This window comes from Homo sapiens, chromosome 4, assembly GCF_000001405.40.
Source record: "Homo sapiens chromosome 4, GRCh38.p14 Primary Assembly".
Classification (NCBI taxonomy): domain Eukaryota; kingdom Metazoa; phylum Chordata; class Mammalia; order Primates; family Hominidae; genus Homo; species Homo sapiens.
The window spans coordinates 61,522,741-61,545,929 of NC_000004.12; the positions used below are offsets into that span (position 1 = coordinate 61,522,741).

Consider the following 23,189-nt stretch of genomic DNA (forward strand, 5'->3'; position numbering starts at 1 on the left):
TCTAGTTTAACAAAGTTAGTAGGAAGCACTTTTCTCTCTTGCTCCAAATCACATCACCTCACGTCTTATCCTTCAGCCACATGGAGGTTGCGTCAATTTACCAGACGAACATGCTTGCCAATATACCTTTGGCAAATATTATCTTTGCTGGTCGGAATGTCCTATAGACCACCTAACTCCTCTTCAACTCAGCTTAAACATTTGTTGTAGCATTGAATCCAAGTGATTTTCCCCCACTTTCACTCATCCATAGCCTTATTCCTGACAGAACAATTTCTATTCTCCTGATTTTGAATTTGACTGGTCTGAAAATTGTGCGTGTGTGTGTGTGTGTCTGTGTGTATGTACGTGTGCTTGTGCATGCATATGAGACGATGATGAGTAATCCTTCTGGCATCTTCTCATGTTCTTACTTTCCTTACTCCTAAACTTTTGGAAAACATGGTTCTAATTTTGTTACTACATTATAGTCTGAAGTGTGTAGGTGAAGTCTAGGAATTTGTGGGGAAGTATGAAGATGAAAGATATTTTAACAGAAGAACAGGGATCAATTTTGCTACAGCAACGGAAAACTCTTACAAGTTCAGCCTTTTGGATGTATCTCTTTGCTGCAGGAGAATAATATAATGTGGCTTTTAGAGTGCTGTGTTAGCTGCCTTCTTCTATATGACACTGTAATATTATTTCAGGTAAAATCCCCTGTTCACATTTATTTATGTCTTTCAGTGAGGTTTGCCATTTTAGACAAGACTTAGAGTCTAATTGATATGCATAATACGTTCTTTGCACATCACTGTTCAGAATTCTTATGTGCATCTAGGGTCAGTCATATTCTTATTTTATGTGGGAAGAAAGGTAATAGGCCTCTAGGGAAATAGGTCAGTTATTGAGATTTTTTTTAAATGCTTGGTAGCCCTAAAGATAATTTCAAAGAATTTCTTTAAGACCCTGTTTTTCTCCTAAATGGTATAAATACCAGAAGGATGTATCCAATTGAAAATAAATGTGCGAGCTTGACCTTCAAGTATTTCCAGAATAGTATAAGCTCAGTCTTTTTTTCTATTGGTGTAAATTACAATTTATATTCCCTCTTTAAAAAGCATGTGAGTAGCTTTTCAAAATACTTACAGAAATTATACTTTTGACTATTGAATTTTTTCACAAAGAGTATGAATAACTAGAAAATAGGTGCTAAACTTTGACACTTAGTGCTCAAAACATTTTGGTTTAAAATTTAATTAAGAATGTGCTTTAAATTGTTTCATTAAACTATTGAGCATCTGCCATGTTCAAAGTATTATATGTGTGTTCCAAAGGAGCAAATTTTATACAATGACAGATACTTCTCAGAATAAGTCAATTACTAGGAAATATCTTCCTTTTTCTTCTCTATCCCCTTACCTAAAACAATGTGTGGTATAATAAAGATCTGAAGTGTATCCCAGATACAAAGAGGAAACTTACGTTATATTTATAGAAGCGTTAACACAAAATTCAGGTGAAAAGAAAGGGCAAGTCAGATGATGTCCATAAAACATCAAACTTTCGTAGACTGCCTTATGCTCCTGTTTTTAGAATCTGCATTTCCCATTTATGTAAGTCTCCAGTACAGAAATGCAGAAATTTGGCCAGGTGTTCTAACTTATTCTTTCTTTCATATATACAATTAATTAAATTGATGATTTTTTTTCTAATTCTTACTGCTTAAGGAGCTATTTCTTTTTCTTGGTTATTAGGCATATCTTTAATTCTTCTTCACTACTTTATTTTTACTGCTGCAAAGATGCTACTAGTATGGAATTGCAGTAAATGGGCTTTGAAGTCAGATTTGTTTCAGTCTCAGCTTTACTGTTTACTAACTATCTTACCCAAGTCCAGGGACTTATATTCTTAAAATCTTGTTATCACATCTCTAAAGTGTGATATAAAAATGCATATATTGTAGTGATGTTGTGAAATGGTAAAGCATGTGGTTCCTGAGACCTAGTAAGTGTTCCCCACTGCTGTTTATCCCTTTTTTTGACTTTCTGTTTTATAATAATCAAAACAGAGATATATAATGGAAGATCCATGAAAAATGTTTAATAAATTCATTTATTGTTAATATAGCTGTATGGATTGGGGAAAAGCAAAATAATTTTTGAAAATACTGGCTTTATATTTTGGGCACATTCAAGGGTTCGTAGCTTGGGTAACTGAACATTGATTATAAACGTTTGGGAGAGACAGTAATTTAATTCATATATTTCTTGTGCCTACAACATCTATGGTACCCTTTATAAGGTTGTTCCTTTCCTCAAGGACTTTGCAATCTGTTGCTAGCAAGAGAAAGAATAGGTAAACCAGAAATGCAGTCAACTCTATGATTTGGTGGAATACGGTGTCAGTTAAATGCTGTCATATTTTAAAGAAGGAAATGACATTCCTGGTATGAGATGGAGATAAACGAGAAAGGAGGATTGATAAAGCTCTTTTAGATAAGGTAGTATTTTAATTAACTCTTGAGAAAAAATTCCTAGGATAATTTGCAAGCATAGATGAGAGGTAGTAGAGGAGGGTGTTCCAGAGAACTGAGTTATGTGAATAAAATTACAGTGGGAGAGAATTATGACATTTTTATGAAATGTCAAATAGTCTAATTTAACCAACAACAAGAACACGGGGAAAGAAATAGTGAGACAGGAAGTTTGAAAGGCAGTTTGTAGCTACCTTAGAAGGGGGTCTTAAATGTCAGGGTGAGACTCTGTACATAATTGTGTCTGTAGTGGGGATTCTTTGGAAGCTTCTAATTAGAGTTGCAGTTTAGAACCTGCTACAATTGTGTGGGAAAAGTTAGGATAGAGTGGGACTTAAAAGTAGAGAGCTCAGTTAGGTTATTGCCATAGGGCAGAAGGTAATGAGTGTCTGAACTGGGGAGATAGCAATGGGGATGGAAAGAAGAGGAATGATGTGAGAGATGCACAGATAGTACTACTGGGCTACTAATTGGATGCAAGAGGTGAGGTCGAGGGAAGAATCAAAGATGCTGAGGTGACTGGGTGGTACCATTCACAAAATTAGGATGTCAAGAGGGAGCATTGCCTTTTCAGGAAAAAAATAATGGTGAAGTTGGTCTTAGATATATTGATTTAGAGGTGCAAATGTGAAGCAGATTCTAAAAATGTGAATCTTTGTCAAGAGAAAAGCGATCATTAGTGATAAAAGTTGGCAATTTCTGACAGAGCTGATAAAGAGATTGATTGGGGATGATGAGATTGCCGAAGCAGGGGAGGGACAAGGAGGGATGCTGGGGACGCACTTACCTTTAGAGAAGGAAAAAATGCAAGCCATTGAGGGTGATCAAGACATGGGTTGATACAATTGGTAAACTGAAGTGAAGTTCCATACTTTTCTTACGCTTCGCCCCTTGGCCAGCCTCTGCTAATGCTAATCCACAGAAAGTTCATACAGATGTAATAGGGTGATCACCGAGCATGAGCTAAGTGGATGAGAAAATGATTGGTTTTGATTCTCACTGATAAATTACTGACTCAATGACCTTTCATAAATCCCATATTTTTAAGGAGAGCAAGTAGTAGAGGATTAGACTTGTGAGTTTTATGTGATAGAAATGAGGAAATATGACTAAGTTTAGTGATTTTGCTCCATTTTGAAATTGTTATACTTTTTTTTTTTGCTTTTGATCATTGGTTAATTGTAAATCATTAGGCTAAAGTAGTGTTGGAGTGAACACAAATTGGAAGACTAATACACTTGGCTGGGCATGATGGTTCATGCCTATAATCTTAACACTATGGGAGGTCAAGAAGGGAAGAACACTTGAGGCCAGAAGTTTGAAACCAGCCTAGGTAACATAGTGAGACCCTGTCTTTATAAAAGAAAAAAAATAGCTGGGTATGGTGGTGCATCCCTGCAGTCCCAGGTAATCAAGAGTCTGCATTTGAGCCCAGGAGTTTGAGGTGGCAGTGAGCTATGATTGTGCCACTGCAATTTAGCCTGGGCAACAGAGTAAGACCCTACCTCAAAAAATAAATAAATACATAAATAAATAAGTTTAAAATGTTTAATTCGAGGAATGTTGTAATACCTTATGAGATAAGTAGAGAAACACTGGGATATTTTTGAATCAGTAAGTAGATGAATATAAATATATTTTCAAATAGTCTATAGCAAAAACAAAGTGAAGACTTTAAAAAAGTCATTTTAAAATTCAAAAATTACACTATGGCCGAAATATTTGTCATGAGTGATACATTTATTGAAACTAGCCTTGAAATATGAAAAAGTAAGTTAACATTATTTGCAACACATTTTTTAGACATAGAAATATTTATATTCATCTTTATTTCTGCCAAGAAGTAAATACATTAGTACTTTCGTAATTTAAAAATATCAGGAATTCAAAAATATATAGATTTCTCAATTTTATTGAAAACTTCTTATAAATGTATTTCCATAGTTTCACATCTGAAAGAAAAAATATACCATTCTGTCCATCTAATGCTTAAAAATTTCATTTCATTTATATTAAATAATGTAATTATGTCTAATGGGAGATAATCTAGCAGAATTATTTGAATGGTCTGTGAAGGTATATATTTTGTTGATTTATTTCTTACCTTTATGTTATTTCTCAAATTCTTTGTCATCCTTAAAGAAACAGCTATAGCAACATAGTATTACTGAAAAGGTACTTGTGTGAAACCTATTATTGTATTTCTCCCATCTTTAATTGACATATATACACATATGTACATATCCATAAATTTATATATAATTGTTGCATATATGCAATTTAAACAAGTTAGAAATGTTTAGGTGACTCATGGATAGAAGTCTACTTTAGATTAACTGTGAATGCCCCTTAGGTTTTTGTTGTAGTTCAGAGAATCCTCCATTGGGAATTTTTGTAAGATGTTGATGTAAATTAAAAGAATATTATTTTTAATTGAAAATTTCAAGTCTTGCTTTTGGTTTTTGTTTTTAATGCTATGAAATGTATTCACTTTTTTTCCATTAACAAGATTGTGGCGTAGACTTTGAGTTATAGAGCAATATAGCGAGGAGACAATAAGGTAAGAGCTTTAAAACTAAGCATAACTTAAAACCCTCTCATTGACTGGGCCTTCCCACTTTAACAGCATCATATCATACAGTTCCTGGTGCCTCCACTGTGTTCAAACTCCATTTTTCTTGGTTTCGTTCTCTCACCACCATGCCCTTTCCTCTCTTTTGTTGTCATTCTAACCTCCAGTCATCTTTTAGTTCTTGGCACTTGGGGTGTGAAGCAGTGTAATTTAGTGATTAAGAAGATAGATGCTTGGTCCACAATGCCGGCTGTCCAATCATGACTCACTTGAAAGATGTGTGACCTCACTATGCTTCGGTTCCCTCATTTTTCAAATAGAAATAATAACGGTCATAACTCATAGGATTGTTGTGAGTATTACATGAGTTAATTCACATCAATTACTTAGAAAAATTCTATCACTTGCAGCAAGCCATCAGTGTTAGTGATTCTATTCTTCTCTCTTTTCTCTGTTTTATTCTGTTCTATGTTCTCTGTGTCACTTCCTCTGGGAAGTCTTTCTCAGTCTCTGGAGGTTGGAATATGACAACACTATCATACCTAGTATGTTTCCTTATCTGTTTTTCTCCTTGGACTCTGTTTAAGAACAGAGGATATATCTTTCATCTTTACACCCCAGACACCCAGAATTGAGCATGCTGTGTAGAAGGTACTCACAATTGTTGAATGAGTAAATAAATTAATAGGATTTTGGAGATACGTGCCACCATATGGGGATTTATATAGATTCAACAATAGCCTACCATACTGAGTAAGCTCTAGTAGAAGCTAGGAAATTGAAAGGCTAAGAGACCAAGGTGCCATAATTCTAGAATCATGTCATTTGTTTATTCTCTAGCCAGAGGCAAGGATGCAGATGGGGGTAGGTTTACACAATTAGGATAGGAATCCATGAGGTGGAAGGGCCACACTTCCTTAATTTTGTTTTATGCCATGCTGCAATATCAAAATTCACTTTCTGTCGCATCAGCTATTTCTGCTGATGGTGTGCTTACAAAGACCAGATATGCAAGGAAGCTCAATAGCTGGAAGGTGCCTAGAGGTAGTAGCACAAGGCTTACTCTGTTGGAGAGATACTGGGACTCAGACACCTAGCCACAGCTGTAGTTCACTGATATAACCTGGTGAGCTACTAAGGCTATCTGAGTTTTTCAAGCAGAGAACTCATTATGGTCATAATGATGCCATAATGGATGTCACTAAAGGAGACAGATTTAGAGTCAATGAATAACAATCTGGAAGTGATATGATCTGGGCTTTATGAATATTCAAAATTTATGGTCTTTTCATGTTTTTCTAAGTGACAGTCTTACTTGTTCCATTCTTGTTATTGATGTTCAGCAGAACTGTATTTTATAATATGTCTGTAGCTTACTAAGTTACTCTCTATTCTAAGTACATCTTATGAGTTCTGGATATGTTTCCCAAGCTACTTGTCTATCCAGTATGTATATTTAACACATAAGTTTTAGCTAATGCCTTTTGTTTCTTTTAACCTACAGCAGACTGGATATTCTCAATTAAAACAGCAAACACTATATTACATGTATTATAGTTAGGCTAACCATATGTTCTAGTTTGCTTAGAGAGACTCAGTTTACACCTGCTATTCTGCAGTAATCCTTAATAGTGTCTTCTTTCACTCCCAAAGTGTCCTGATTTGGGTGATAATTTATATAATCACCTTGGTTATAATCCAACATCTGCTACTTACAAAACTATGTAAATTGAAGTAAATTATTTTATATCTATAAGTTAGTGGATTGGGGCTAGGTTATTTGTAAAGCTCTTGCTAAATTTGAAATTATTTGACATTTATGGAATGATATATAAAGCTTTTTACTTCTTTAAGTCTATTCATAAGACTTCTATTCATAAGACTATTCAAGACCAGTTTTTTTTTTCATTACAAATGGTTCTAAATGCAAGTTTAGCATAAATGTATGCATTAACTGCTTTGAAATGTGCAAAATTAAAGTTTTAATTGACACTTGGGACAAAATATTTAAGACATTATGACCATAGATTTAAAAGTAAAGAAACTAAAAGTGCTTTTATTAATTTCTTTAGAATTGAATATGTTAAATGAAGGGCTTTGAAATCACTACATGTGGCTTTAAAAATATTTTATGGCTTTAAATTCAACCTATGCTTGTATTCCTTATCTGTACATTGAATTAAATAGTTGGCAGGGAATACTAGTTTCTAAGGAAATTAATGATTTTAGTTTTCAGTATGATGTATTTCCAGGTGTCCATGAGCCAGTTCTGTAGGGATTTTGAAAATAATGGGTATTAAATTAAATAGAATATTTAGCCACAGATTTGGACATTATCTACAGAGAGAAAATTGCATAAGTGCATGAATTGTCTCAAAAGTGTTAGTGTAGATATAGAAGGGTAGTGAAGAAAATGCAGATAGCATTTCTGACTGTCTCTGCTGGTCAGCTGTTCCCTGGGTCTGTCAAGAGGTACAACTATATGGTCTTTCAAGAGGACAACTATATGGACCAATTTCTATATGGTCTTGCCATACAGAAATTGGGTTTGCTACCCTCCCTAAAAAAAAAAAAAATCTTCACAGAGTATATGGATATTTGAACTATTTCTTTTTAATGCAAGAGTACTTGTTTCAGCTCTTGTCAAGGCTAGAAAGCTCCATGGCTCAGTGCTGAGTTTGGTAAACACAGACTGTGTGGAGAAAGATTTTTGCCTTTTGGAATTTTATACTTTTGTTGTTATTCCAGTTCTGAGGGGGTGGGATAATATGTTAATTCATTATTTAAGTTTCCCTGCACCCCAGCTTAGATGATCTGATTCTACTACAAATATGATACTACCAGCTCTCTATAGTGCTGCATTAATTTTGAAAATATCAAGAGATTTGATAGGTGATTAAGTGACTTGAGCTGATGAAAACTTCCTCACTCTTATAGGTATATGGAGAAGCAAGAATATTGGAAACATATTCATCTGTGTATTTTTGGCAGTTTACGGAAATTAGTATAAATGTAGATGGCAACACCTGGTGCTTAAAAGTACTAGAGAACTTATCACATTCTCTTTAATTATGGTTATGTGTATGTTTCTTCCTTATTTGGTTATAAAATCCTTGAGGTAAGGACCTGTGCTCTATTTATCATATATTTGCCAGAGTTCTTAATATAGTCTGTGGCTCATAGTATTAACTCAATAAATATTTCCTTACTGGTTATTAATTGTAATGCAAATGGAAAAATATTTGTGATTTATAGAATACCACCTATGAAAGAATGAAGTTGCTGCAAAAATATTGTGATGATTATATTGGCATATCACTTCAAGCCGATTGAGCAAATAAAGGCAAAGAAAATGAGTGTGTGTGTATACGCATACATGTTCTTTCACAGACCTGAATCTTGGTAAAAATAATTAGGCGCATTGCTACCACCTGCACCCTTAGGAAACAAGGGTGTTTTGTTTTGTTCTGTTTTCGCCTAGTCTAACTTGCATTATACTAACAGGCTAAAGTTCACATTTCAGTTGTTTGCTTCTGGGCTTTGTAGAAGCTGCTCACTAATCCCCTTGGGATTGTGGAAAGGGAAAAGAGGTGAGTGCCTTGCGTCATTCTGTGGCAGCCTCAGGGATTCATTCAAGAGCCTTAGTGGCTTGATGTGGTGAGAGTGATGAACAACCTTCATCACTGGAAAGACATTATTATTATAGCATTTCATTTCCTTCCTTCCGCAAGCATTTACTATGCACCTACTGTGTGTACATAAATGACTGCATCCAGACCCATGATAGAAATCTGAAGATTTAACTCCTACTTGGGAAGAAATTACAAATGAATAGATAAAATATAAGAAGCAAAGAGACCAATACTGATTTCAATAATCTTTGAAGTGTGCAGGATGCTTGTTGTAATAGAATTTCCATGTATGATGTACTCTAAATTTCTAATAGTACACTTTACATTTCCTCATGTCTTCATTGCTGTGCCCTTAGTAATTATTGAGAAAAGCAGAAAGATCTTTTTATCATCCAGTATAATTTTTGTTAGCCTATGGAAATATTATTTTCACCTTTCATAACCTAACTTTAGAGTGTGTAATACAATGTCTGTGTTTCAAATGAAGGTGGTGTGTTCTACCACATGCATATAAAATAAGGAAAGGATCATTTTGGTTCTCTGAGTAGATTACTTATTTGATATCATTCAATCTGTTTTATAACATGAAATAATCAACAAGCTAAAATGAAATATTTGATAGAATTGGTGATCTCTTCCCTTAGGAGTGATCTTGGAATCAGAAGGCATACCTTAATTTATACAAAGGTCACCAGTTTATACTGCATGTGAGGAAGGAAGGCAGTCAGATATGCGTGACTGCATCTAGACAGAAAAAGTCTTGCATTTATAGCCAGAGCAGCTTTCTGCTTTATCTTCAAAGTTAGAATAAAAGCTTGTATGACTTGGAGTGGGAAAAAACTTTATCAGCAAGATCATTAATAACTTGGGACTCAGCTTTTCAAGTTACAATTAGCTGCTCAACAGCTGTGACCTTCAAGAGCTACTCATTATTGTTGGTCCTGATTGTTCACTCCCACTGTAGAGCTCTTTTCAGAAATAGTTTCTCTGACATCATTGACCCCAGGGGTCAGAGTGAGAAATGAGTCTTCAAGTACTCATTTGTAAGTCTTGTTTCTGCAGGATGCTGCATGCGCGCGCGCGCGCGCGCGCGCGCGTGTGTGTGTGTGTGTGTGTTTAAGGAATTCAACTGATGGCTAATGCCTCATTGTAAATCCAGCTGTTTGGTCAGATCCCAATTAGGATGATGCCTGTTAGATGAAGAGGCACTCCTGGGAGCAGCCAAGGGATTCAGTGGCCTCAAATACAGAGTAAAACCGATAGTAACACCAGCTCTGTTTTATTTAGATGTTTAAAAAAAAAAAAAGGTCTCAGCACACATGCTTGCCAAACTCTGCCATGCACTGTGTAGCATCTCAGCGGATCAGCAGGGATTTTAAACCTGCTATGTGTTTGGCATACACTGCAACCCAAAGAGAAAGTGGGATTAGAGAAACTGTAGTGAAGTATGAAATGAAAGCTCAGTTGGAAAAGGAGGACTGGATTATGTTCAGCTTCTTTCTTTTAGATATTAAGAACATGGGACTCTTTGGAAAAAGGGATTTACTTCCCAGGACAAGGTGTAGTGCATAATCTCTACATTCTGAAAGCAGCCTTAATTAGGGAAAAATCTATCTGCCATAAAACAAAAGAATAAGCAAATTGACAGGAAAGTTGATAGAATTTTGATAAGGACGTTTCTGGCCAATGAAGACCCAGAATTAAATCTTATACTCTGTGGGAGTCTTTTCAGTAAAATGTATATATGATGAAGTTTTTCAACATGCACCCTTGGCAGTTTCAACCTAAGATCTCAAAGGTTGAAATCATTGTGATGTGGCAAGTGGGATCTCTGTAGGAAGAGGTAGACTGGTTTTAGCTCTGACTCACTTCCAAACCACGGGAATTAGGACAGCACCTCTGGGCTGTGTGTATGAGTCCTCATTTGTGAAAACAAAGGAACTAGGTTAGACTTGGACAATATATATTTCCTGGGAAACTGGGCTAGATTGTAATCTCTCTGAGAGCATTTGTATTTTTTTTATCACCTTCATTGTAACTATTTTCACTAGTTTCACCATTACTTACCTCAGTAACTAGAAGATAAACCATTGAATAAAATCTAAATAAATTTCAGAGATCCCTTTCTTTGTTCTCTGACCTTAGCCTCTGTATCATAGCATGCTTAATTGTTTATTATGTCTATTGTAAAATGGTTAGGTTGTCTATTTTCTATTCTTTGAAATGACCACATGGAGTAATTTTCTAATATTATGATTTCTAAAGCATAGCTTTGCACTCAAATGTCTGATGAGGTTCTCCTAATAAATAACTTATTACTCGTGAAATGGACACTCTTTTTGAAATTTTAGCGTAAAAAATATGCAAATTAATAACAATGACATCAATAAGTAACTTAGTGAAAAAGTGCTATATACTAGGTACATATTTTTTGTTATTTTATTTTATTTCAGATTCAGGGGATACACGTGCAGGTTTGTTATATGGGTATATTGTGTGATGGTGACACAATTTTGATTTTGTTGCATTTGCTTTTGAGGTCTTAGTCATAAATTATTTGCCTAGACCAATGTACAGAAGAGTTTTTTCTAGGTTTTCTCCTAGGGTTTTTGTTGTTTCAGGTTTTGCATTTAAGTCATTTTTATCCATCTTAATTTTTCTATATGGTTGAGAGATAGGGGCCCAGTTTCATTTTTCTGCATATGGCTAGCCAGCTTTCCCAGCAGCATTTATTGCATAAGGTGTCCTTTCTCCATTGTTTATTTTTGTCAGCTTTGTCAAAGATTAGTTGGTTGTCACTGTGTGGCTTTATTTTTCGTTCTATTCTGTTCCACTGGCCTATGTATCTACATTTATGCCAACATCATGCTATTTTGATTATTCTTGCCTTATAGTTTAAAGTCAGGAAATGTGATGTCTCCAGCTTTGCTCTTGTTGTTTGGAATGCGTTAGCTATTCAGCCTCTTTTTTGATTCCGTATAAATTTTAGACTTTTTTTTTCTAATTCTGTGAAAAATGATGTCAATAATTTGATAGGAAATGCACTGAATCTCTAGATTGCTTTGGGGAGTATAGTCATTTTAATGATAATTGACTCTTCCTATGCATGAGCATGGCACTTTTTCTATTGGTTTATGTAATCTACAATTTCATTCATCAGTGTTTTGTGGTTCTCCTCGTAGAGGATTTTAAATTCCTTCATTAAATGTATTCATAGGTATTTTATTATTTTTGTGTGTGGATATTTTAAATGGGATTGAGTTCTTAATTTGGTTCTCAGCTTGAGAATTGTTGGCATATAGGTATGCAACTGATTTTTGTGTATCAATTTTGTATCCTGAAATTTTACTGAAGTCATTTATCAAGTCTAGGTGTCTTTTGGAAGAGTCTTTAAGATTTTATAAGATCATGTCATCAGTGAACAGAGATAATTTGACTTCCTCTTTTCCAATTTGGATGCCTGTTATTTTTTTCTCTTGTCTGATTGCTCAGGCTAGAATTTCCAATACTATGTTGAATAGGAGTGCTGAGAAGTGGACATCCTCATCTTTTTTGAGTTTTTAGGGGGAATACTTTCAACTTTTACCCATTCAGTATAATGTTGGCCATTAGTTTGTCATATATGGCTCATATTATATTGAGGTATTTTTTTTTATGCCTAGTTTGTTGAGGGTTTTTTAAAACCAAGAAGGGATGTTGGATACTGTCTAATGCTGTCTCTGAATCTATTGAGATGATCACATGGCATTTGTTTTTAATTTGGTGCATGGAGTAAATCAAATTTACTGAATTGTGTATGTCTAACCATCCTTGCATCCTTGGAATAAGACCCATTTGATCGTGATGGATTATTTTTGGATAGGGTGTTGGATTTGGTTTGCTAGTATTTTGTTGAGGATTTTTGCATCTGTGTTCATCAGGGATATTGGTCTGTAGTTTTCATTTGTTGTGTCATTGCCAGATTTTGGTGTTAGGATGATACTGATTTCATAGAATGTGTTAAAGAGGAATACCTTCTCCTCAACTCTTTGGATTAGTTTCATTAAGATTGGTACCAACTTTTCTTTGTACATCTGGTAGAATTCAGGTGTGAATCCACCTGGTCCTGGGATTCTTCTTGTTGGTAGTTTTTTTTACTACTGATTCATTTTCATAACTAATTATTGGCCTGTTCAGGATTGTATTTTTTTTCCTTGTTGTTCAGTCTTGTAAGATTGTATGTTTCCAAGAATTTACCCACTTCTCTAGGTTTTCTAGTTTGTGCACATAGAGATTTTCATAATAGTCTTTGATAATCTTTTGTCTTTCTTTGGCATTGTGCTTTTTTCCATCTTTTCTTCTTCGTTAATCTAGCTGGCATCTATCAATTTTGTTCATCCTTTCAAATAACCAATTTTTTACTTCATTTATTCTTTGTACTTTTAGGCTCAATTTTATTTAGGTCTTCTTGAACTGTGTTATTTCTTCCCTTCTACTAGCTTTGAGTTTGGTTTGTTCTTATTTTTCTAGTTCCTTTGGGTGTGATATTAGGTTGTTAATTGGAAATCTTTCTTTTTGATGTAGGCAATTAGCACTATAAACTTTGCTGTTTTTTTGCTGTATTCCAGAGGGTTTGGTATGTTATGCCTTTTATATGTTTCTAAAAAATTTTTGATTGCTGCCTTAATGTTGTTGTTTATCCAAAAGTCATTCAGGAGTGAGTTGTTTAGTTTCCATGTACTTGTGTGGTTTTGAGAGTTCCCTGTGGAACTGGTTTCTAATGTTATTCCGCTGTGGTCTAAGATGATACTTGATATTATTTCAATTCTTTCGAGTTTATTGAGACGTGCTTTATCGCCAAGCATATGGTCAGTTTTAGAGAATCTTCCATGTGCAGATGAGGAAAATGTATATTCTACATTTGTTGGGTAGAGTGTTCTGTAGATATCTACTAGGCTCATTTGCTCAAGAGTCTAGTTTAAGTCCTGAGTTTCTTTGTTTTCTGCGTTGATAATCTATCTACTGCTCTCAGTGCGGTGTTGAAGTTCCTCACTATTATTGTATGGATGTCTATCTCTTTTGCTAGGTCTAGTAGTATTTGTTTTATAAATCTGGGTGCTCTGGTGTTGGGTGCATATATATTAATATTTAGGATAGGTAAATCTTCTTGTTGCATTGAACCCTTTATCATTATATAATGCCTTTCTTTGTCTTTTTTTAGTATTGTTGGTTTAAAGTGTCTTTTAATTGATACAAGAATAACCATCCCTGCTCTTTTTTGTTTTCCATTTGCATGATATATCTGTCACCACCCCTTTACTTTGAACCTGTGGATGTCATTACACATTAGGTAGGTCTCTTGTAGACAACAGATGGTAGGCTCTTTTTTTTCCCAATTTGCCAGATAAATCTTTTAAGTGGAGCACTTAGGCTTTTTATATTCAAAGTTAATATTGATATGTGAGGTATTATTCTTGTCATAGTGTTGTTAACTACTTGCTTTGTACTCTCAATTATATAACTGCTTTGATAAGATCTGTGAACTTTTTACGGATGTGTGCTTTTATGTTAGTGCATATTATCCTTTTATTTCCACGTTTAGAACTCCTTTGAGTATTTTTTTGTAGAATGTGTCTAGTCGTGAAGAATTCTCTTAACATTTGCTTGTCTGGGAAAGACTTTATCTCTCCGTTATGAAGCTTAGTTTGACAGATTTGAAATTCTTGCCTTGCATTTTTTTTTTTTTAATTTAGGTAGTCTAAAAAGAGACCCTCAATCTGTTTTGGTTTGTAAAGTTTCTGCTGAGAAGTCAACTGTTAGTTTGTTGGAATTTCCTTAATAAGTGATTTACCCTTTTCTCTATCTGCCTTTAAGATTTTTTTCTTCAGCATTGATTTTGGTCTGATGAGTGTGTGCTTTGGTGATGTTCAGCTTGTGTTGTATCTTGCAAGTGTTAATTTACTGTATCTGGATATTTACCTCTCTGGCAAGATTACAGATATTTTCTTCAATTATTTCCTCAAATATGTTTTCCAAATTGCTTATTTTTTCTTCTTCTCAGCAATACCTACAAGTAATAGGTTTGGTCACTTTAAATAATTTTATATTTCTCAAAGGCTTTGTTCATTAAAAAAATCTTTATTTTTATTTTTTGTCTTAATTCAAAAGACAGGGCTCCAATGTCTGAAATTCTTTCTTCTTCTACTTGGTCTAATCTATCATCTAGGCTTCCAACTGTATTTTGGAGTTCCTTTAGTGAATTTTTAAATTCCCAACGTTCTGTATAGAGAGAGACATTTAATTCTTCATTCTTCACTATCACTATACTAAGATTGCTTCGATTAAGATCAAGTATTTCCATTTTAATAAATCCAAATTCAGTGCTTGTTTCCTCTATCCTTATTCTAGCTATCTTGTCTTTCATATCCTGAATTATATTTCTGGTTTCTTTGTACTGCTTTTCAACCTTCCCATCGATCTCATCAAGCTTCCTTGCAATTCATTTTTTTAAATTCTTCATCTGTCATTTCAGAATTTTCATTTTGGTGAGGATTCATTGCCTGAGAGCTGGTACAATCCTTTGGAGGTCTCTAAATACTCTGTGTTTTTGTACCGCTGGAGTTTTTACATGGATTCCTTCTCATCTGTAGAAGCTATTGCTTCTTATTTTTGAAATGGCTTCAGTTGGATGGGAAATAAAAAAATAAAATAAAATAAAATAAAAACTTTTTTCCCCTTGAGGTCTATAGTGTTTGTTGTGTATATTTTGGCTTCATTTCTAGGTGTTTTCAGGGGGCTAAGACTCGTTGTGTGCTTCTTTGTTGTGAATAGCTATTGTCTACGTAGTGGCTTTTTCAAATGATGCTTGTTGTAGTGATGTGTTGGATGTGTGAGTTGACACACCATCTTCTGCGGGTCTGAGAGTGTGGAGGTCTTAGGGAGCTTATCTCATACACTAGGACTATGCCCTTCTGATAGCAGGAGTTTTTTATTGTTGTTGTTTGTTTGTTTTTTTGTTGAGATGGAGTTTCGATCTTGTTGCCCAGGCTGGAGGGCAATGGTGCGATCTCAGCTCACCGCAACCTCCGCTTCCCAGCTTCAAGCGATTCTCCTGCCTCAGCCTCATGAGTAGCTGGGATTACAGGCATGCACCACCACGCCCGGCTAATTTTTTTGTATTTTTAGTAGAGACAGGGTTTCTCCATGTTGGTCAGGCTGGTCTCGAACTCCCTACCTCTGGTGATCCACCCATCTTGACCTCCCAAAGTGCTGGGATTACAGACATGAGCCACCATGCCTGGCCTGATAGCAGGATTTTATTTGGTGGTACAGTTTAATCTCCAGTCCAGTAGATGGGCATGTGCCTTTGGGTAATCTGACAATGAATGGAAGCCCCTGCCCTGACTGGGGGTGGCTGGGGAAGATTGCGTTGGGTTGCATTGAAGTCTCAGGAGCAGGGGTGGTAGGTGTGGGTGCACCAGCTTCTTGTCCTGTGCAGGCAGGAATGTAATCAACTTTCCTATTACATCCCTGTCATAGGGATCATGACCTTCAGCTCATATAGACTGTCCTTTGCCTCTGGCTACTGGGTGATTGCAGACCATGGTGGCTACCACCAAAATGGGCTCAGGGCAGAGCCCCTTCCCCTAGTCCAGAACTGACAGCTCTGTGACTATTTTGCCCTGTGTCACCCCCTACACAAGCTAGTGCTTTATGTAGGGAGGGAAAGATGGGCTACACCCTTCATGCAAACCTGTGCAGTGCTAGCTTACTTTCAATAGGGGTGCAGCTGCCGCAAAATGCACAGAGTGGCTGTCTCCGGGGCACTGATGCCAGCCCCCAGTGAGGAGAGCCTCTGCTGTGTCTGTAACAGTGGGTTGGGGAACAGGAGACGGCCTTCTCTCCACGCCTATTCCTTCTATTCCTGGTTATCAGTACAATTGACAATGCCCAGTGGGCTTTGGCAGGCTGCACTCCCTCATCCCCTATGGGTGGCCCTCACTGAGCGTTAGATCTTCAGGGGCCCCATAACTCTCCAAGGATCTGCTAGTCCTCTACAGTTGCAAAAGTCAGAGTGTGCTCTGGGGTCTTTTTGTAGGGGATCAGGTGATGTGGTGACAGAAAGGCTTAGATTTCTAGGGCCTGGCAGTAAGCCACAGTGGGTACGCAAACAGCGTGGTGTGCATCGTCTCAGTTCAGGCCTGAGGGGGAGAGCCAGTGTACCTGTCCAAGCTGGCTACTTGGTGCTCTGTCTCTGGGAAGTTCACAGATCACCACTGACAGTGTTGCCCAGGGTCACAAAGGCAGACTTTCTCCCCGACAATTTGGTGGTAAGCATATTGTTGCAGGGGTAAGGGGAGCAGAGAAGCACCCCCACCTACCCTTCCCACAGGGCTCCAAGTCCCTCAGGGGACTGTCTCTGCCAGAGCCTTTCTGCTTCCCTTTTCTGTGCCCTGACTTCTTCCCATGGGCTGTCTGACAGGACCTGGCTCTCCTCCCTCAGCTTTCCATTCAAATCCTGACCATTCACCTACCACTTTGATCTTCTTCTTAAGAACTGGCATTTGAACTAAGCATTCCCTAGTCAGCCATCTTGAGAAAAAAATAATGCCAGGTACATTTTTCAGCACTATGCATGTATTAACTCATAACCAACCTATGATGTAAGTACCACTACTACCCCTTTTACAAATAAAGAAATTAAATAACTCGTCCAAAGTCATATCAGGCTAAATATTTCAGCTCAGGGAATCTTCCCTCAAAGTCTGAAATATTTACCACTTTACCACATTTTAAACCCCAATACTGAGTTAAATACAGTGGAAATCTGCCAGGCGTGGTGGCTTATGCCTGTAATCCCAGCACTTTGGGAGGCCAAGGCAGGCAGCTCACTTGAGGTCAGGAGTTCAACACCAGCCTGGCCAATTAGGAGAAACTCCGTCTCTACTAAAAATACAAAAATTAGCCAGGTGTAGTGGCACAAGCCTGTAATCCCAGCTATCCGGGAGGCTGAGGTAGGAGATTCACTTGAACCCACAAGGCGGAGGTGCAGTGAGCCAAGATTTTGCCACCGCACTCTAGCCTGGTTGACAGAGCGAGACTCTGTCTCAACAAAAAAAGAAAAGAAAAGAAAAAAAGAAAAAAAAATACAATGGATTTTCTTCAAGGGATGTAAGATTTCCATATGTTTTAGATATTAAAATTATTAAGCATATTCCTAAAACTGGATTGAATGTAGCGATACTTTTAGGGACAATATTTGAGAATAGAACACAATTTTCAGGTTAAGTTCATTGTGCTTGAAGTTTAATGTAAATTTAATGCCCAGGCAGATATATTGAAAGAACACACAAAAAAAATTAAATATGTGCATATCAGGATCTACTTTTTACTACCTGATTAGGAACAGCAAGGGGCATCTTTGGGTATACAAAAGAAGTTAAAATATAAAATGATCGTTTCACTGAACTTTTGTCAAAGGCTAAATTTGATATAGAACATATTCCCCAAAAGAAAAAAAAAATAGCTGTATATGTTTAGTCACAATGTAATTATGATCAGCTGAGCTGAGGAGGTAAGGAGCCAGAGGCTTGGTAAGCAGAAACCAGTAGGACACTGTTATCAGAGGCAGGGTAGGAGGGGCACTCCAAAGTTCACAGAAACTGCCAGCAGCCTGGAGAGTTATAGGAAGTGAAAGATCCTGGGTGAGATGGGTAGAAGGAGTTCGTGGCCCCAGCGGCAAATAAAAGTACTGAAGCAGCTTGATTGCCTAGTCTTGGTTGTCTTTGTTTGTTCCACCCCTGGTGAGAGTTCACCCTGAGAGAACCTGTACAGCAGGTGAGAATAACTGAAAACAGCTGGCTGTCAGTGAGGGCAAGGGTGGAGCAGATGCTGTTTTCTGGTAGAGATTTTTTTTTTTTTTTTTTTTTTTTCTGACACCTGGGCAAGTAACATGTAGTTGACTCTTTTAGCCAGACATTGTAATGGACTTTCCTGTAATCCCATGCATGCAGGCTGCCATTTTATATCTTTGAAAGCCTGTGTGTCTAAGGAAATATCAACAGAAAGAATTAGAAATGAAGTATTGACATTCTTCACTAAGGGGCATTTGGTCCCATGTGATAGCTGAACTCCAAAGTCATTATGACCAGAAAGTTGCTACTAAGAAAGCCAGAAGGTAGAAATAGGAGCTCTATTCAGCTTGGTTACCTGGACAGCAATTCCTCGCTACATTTCCAGAGGCAGCTCTCTGCTAAAAAGATAATTCGTTGATTATCCAGTGTTCCCTTGTGGCTCTATGTGTGGCCTTTCTTTCTCTCTTATCAAAGCAAATAATCTGTAAAGAAAGGCAACCAACCAGGCAAGTGAATTTTTTGAGCCTTAGATATATATGTGTGTGTGTATACACACACACACACACACACACACACACACACACTAGTATTTCAGTAGCTGAGCTCGTCAAGTTTTTGAAACCATTTTAAATCATTTTATTCTCTGTGTGACTATCACCATGTTTTGTGATAATGTGATGTGGGGTCGTGGCCAATTTATCCACACTTTAACAAACTCTGATTATTAGAATTAGTTCAAGAGATTTTTCTCTTTTTTCCTGATAATTTTTAATCTAAGTTAACTATATAGATTTTTAGGTAAGTAGAGATGACTGTGTGACTATAACACTGTAACTGGAATCTGGATACTCTCATAAAATGTTTAAGCTAAAAGGAACCTTTGGGATCATAGCTTCAATCCAGAGGAAATTGTGGCCTAGAGGTTTTATGTAACTTCCTCATAGTTAATGGGCTGAGACCAATTTAGTGAATCTTGGTTCCATTTCTAATCAAGTTTCACAATTTATTTACTGTGAACAAATATACATTTTAGGTGAAATATTTACATTTTGTTTGTAGCTGCTCAAATAAAAACAGCTGCAAAAAGTTCCCCTACGTCTAAACATTTTCTGAGAATTGAAAAATAATTTCTGTCCATAATAGATAATTAAGACAGTACAGAAAAATTTAAAAGACAAAAATCTACATATCAACCTGATAAAGACAACCACTATGAAGGCTTGCATGTATTTTCTCGTTTTATCCATGCATTTATTTCTTTTAATGCAGTCGCGATTGTACTATGTAAGTACATTTTATCTGCCTTTTTTTTTCCTTTTGAGAATATCAGACCCTTTGAAAGTGTTTATAGCAGTTGCTTATGCATCATAGTCCATTAAGGGGATGGAATGATTTACTTTAATGCACTCCCTATTTTGTGGCATTTTATTTCTGCTAGAAAGAGATTTTTGCATAACACAAATACATATTTATGGAAGTGTGACTGTGCTTTCTTACCATTCCTTCACCTCACATCCTCTCTTCAATACACTTTAATCCTACATTCTTTGCTATCGCTACACTAAGATTGCTTTTATTAAGGTCAAGTATTTCTATTTGCCATATACAATGTTTATTTCCTCTACCTTATTCTAGTTGACTTCTCAGCATTGTATGACACCATTAACAACTCCTCAGTCCCATCTTCCACTTTTCTTTATTATATTTTTTAGTCAGACTCACAGAATTGAGTTGATTTTATTCCTCATTGGGTGGCACACTATTATCGTTCTTCCCAACTTGTTCAGTATTTGTTTTATGTATTTACTAATACTTTTCTTTATGGTAGGCAGAATTATCCCTCCCCCCCACCCCCCCACCTCGACTTCCCCAGAAATATCCACATTTGAATCCCTGGAACCTGAGAATTTCTAATTTTACATGGCATAAAGGACTTTGCAGATGTGATTAAATTAAGGACATTGAGGTAGGGAGATTATCCTGGATTATGTAGATGGGTTCATTGTAATCTCAAAGACCCTTAAAAGTGGAAGCAGGAGGCAAAGGGGAGAGTGAGAAGAAGAAGGGAGAAAGGCACAAGGAGATGCAATGTTTGCCATCTTTGAAGATGAAGGAAAGGAGCTTCTAAAAGCTAGAATGCTCCCTTACTGGCAGAGAAAGGAACATAGCCTTCCTGACTGGCTGATTTTAGCCCGGAGAGAAGCATGCCAGATTTTTGACCTGCAGAACTAGAAGATAATAAAATTTGTGTTGTAGTAAGCCACTTACTTTGTGGTAATTTGTTACTGCGCAATAGAAAACTTAATACATTCTCTTCTTCCATTTTCAAGTTCATTCTCCTGCCTCACTCTAGTATATTTAACGTTTATTCTTCCAGTCTTACTTTCAAAGTTTACTTAAACATACCTGTATCCTTAATAGAATAGAAAATGCTTCACGTTTTTAACCATGCATAAATGCATAGGTGGTGGTGTGCTATTCATCTTATTTACTACTTTTTTCACACAATGCTATATTTAAACTGCATCTGTATTGCTATAAAGTTTGTTCAGTGATTTTAATTTCAACATATTCCATTATTTGAATATTTCACTGCTGTATCATCTTTCATCTTAGGCATATACCACATTTTACCCATCCAGTCTCCTCAAGACTTTGTCTGCTCATATTAGTCCACTCTGTGTTTGTATCACAGTCTACTTATGTGATGGAACTACTTAGGATGCTTCTAACTCTTTATGATTAAAAACAACGTGACAAGCGTTGTACTGGATGTCTTCTTGTGGATCAGTGTGAGTTTCCTTGGGAATATATTTAGGAGTAGATTATACACATAGGTAACTTTACTATTGAGCAACATTGACCATTCTCCAGAATGACGGCATCAGTTTTCACTTGCACCAGTGAGTCAGCTCCCCTTTCTTCATAGCTGCACCCAACCTTAATGGTGTTCAGTTTTCTGATATTTTTTATATACCTGAGAGACATTAGGTGGTATCTCATTGTTTTGATTTGCATTTCTCTGATTACTAAAGAGAATGAACTTTTCTTCAGTACCAATTAGCTATTTGGACAACACCTTCTATAAATTTATTCTTTATAGTCTTTACCTATTTTTCTCTTTGTATTTTTTTCATCCTAGCTTTTAAGAACTACTGATGGTAAGTAAGCCTTTGCCATTTTCAAATGTGCAAATAACTTCTTCCTGTCTATCTCCCTTTAGATACATGTGTACAGAAATCTTTCATTGAGACGTAATCAGAAAATTCTGTTTTTTCCCTTTTGGTTTTATATTTGCAAGTATTACCTTATAAACCATTGTTTACCCAGTATCAAAAATATTTTAGTTTTCACATTTATAATCACATTAAGAATTTAAATACATTAATTTGAAGTTTTTATATTTTATGAGTTAGAAATACATTTTTTATGGAGCAAGTCTTATGTTTTCAACATACATTACCAAATAATGGAACCTCTTTCCAATGATTTATGATGTTTGTTGTTTAGAACAAATTCCCATGTATTCATAAACTCTTTATTCTCTTTCACTGCTTCATTAGTCTGTATCTATTTCACTAACACTTTGCAATATGGCTTAATACTTTCATTAACAAGTATTTTTTTCTTTTACTCTTTTTTTTCAGAATTTGCTAAAAATGTTAAAACACATTGTCAAATTCCTCTTTAAAAGTATAATTGGATTTTGACTGGAAGTTTGTTCAACTTAGATTGATTTGTGGTAAGTTGATTAAGTGAATCATGCTGATATCCAGTCAAAAATCTAGAAGTAATCTTGGATTTTTCTTTCCTTTACTTCTCCTCCTGCATTGTCCTTAACATTTGTGGGACATAAAATAGGAGTTTAAACGGAAGTCAGCATATCATAAGTTGTAATTAAAAATTACAGACCAAGCTGTCCCCGTTACCCAGCCCATGTTCCCACTGAGGTTATCATTCTGAAATCTAGAGGCAAAAGGAGTTCCCCTCCTTGTAGGGCCAACCCTGACAAACCTGGTTAGTACTGATGTACGTGGCAGGAAAAAGTAGAAGCTGGGTTCAGCTCAGGATCCACCCAGAGCTAGGACTGACCTAATGAAACCCTAGAGACAGAGGTTGGGGCAGTGCCTCTCTTTCATATCTTACTTTTCCAACTCAGGATTTCCAGACTGCTCATTAGCTCTCAAACGCATTTCCTCCGCCTCAGGGAGCCAGTTCAGCTTTTCTCCCTGTCTCTCCTTCTCTGAGTCTCACTCTGTTGCCCAGGCTGGAGTGCAGTGACGCCATCTCGGCTCACTGCAACCTCCGCCTGCCGAGTTCAAGTGATTCTCCGGCCTCAGCTTCCTGAGTAGCTGGGACTACAGGCGCACGCCACCACACCCACCTAATTTTTGTACTTTTTAGTAGAGGCAGGGTTTGGCTGTGTTGGCCAGGCTGGTCTCAAACTCCTGACCTCAGGTGATCTTCCTGCCTCGGCCTCCCAAAGTGCTGGGATTACAGGCGTAAGCTACCGCGCGGGGCCTCTGTGTCTTTCTCTCTCTATGTTTGAGGTGTTTGAAGTTTCAAAAATCTTTCTTATAACCAAAACAAACAAACAAACAAACAAACAAACAAAAAACAAAAAAACTTTCTATGTT

General features: G+C 36.5%; 1 protein-coding gene across 59 annotated transcripts in view, besides 1 other annotated feature; it reads left to right on the forward strand.

Annotated features, from left to right (window-relative positions):
* ADGRL3 (adhesion G protein-coupled receptor L3) overlaps positions 1-23,189 on the forward strand; it is an 878,010-nt gene that overhangs the window by 322,415 nt on the left and 532,406 nt on the right. The gene's annotated exons all lie outside the window — the stretch shown is intronic.
* Positions 18,251-18,545: an enhancer, noted in NCBI's record as "tiled region #11493; HepG2 Activating DNase matched - State 12:CtcfO". NCBI's record gives its function as "activates a minimal TATA promoter and a strong SV40 promoter by Sharpr-MPRA in HepG2 cells {active_cell/tissue: HepG2}" and the evidence as "EXISTENCE:reporter gene assay evidence [ECO:0000049][PMID:27701403]".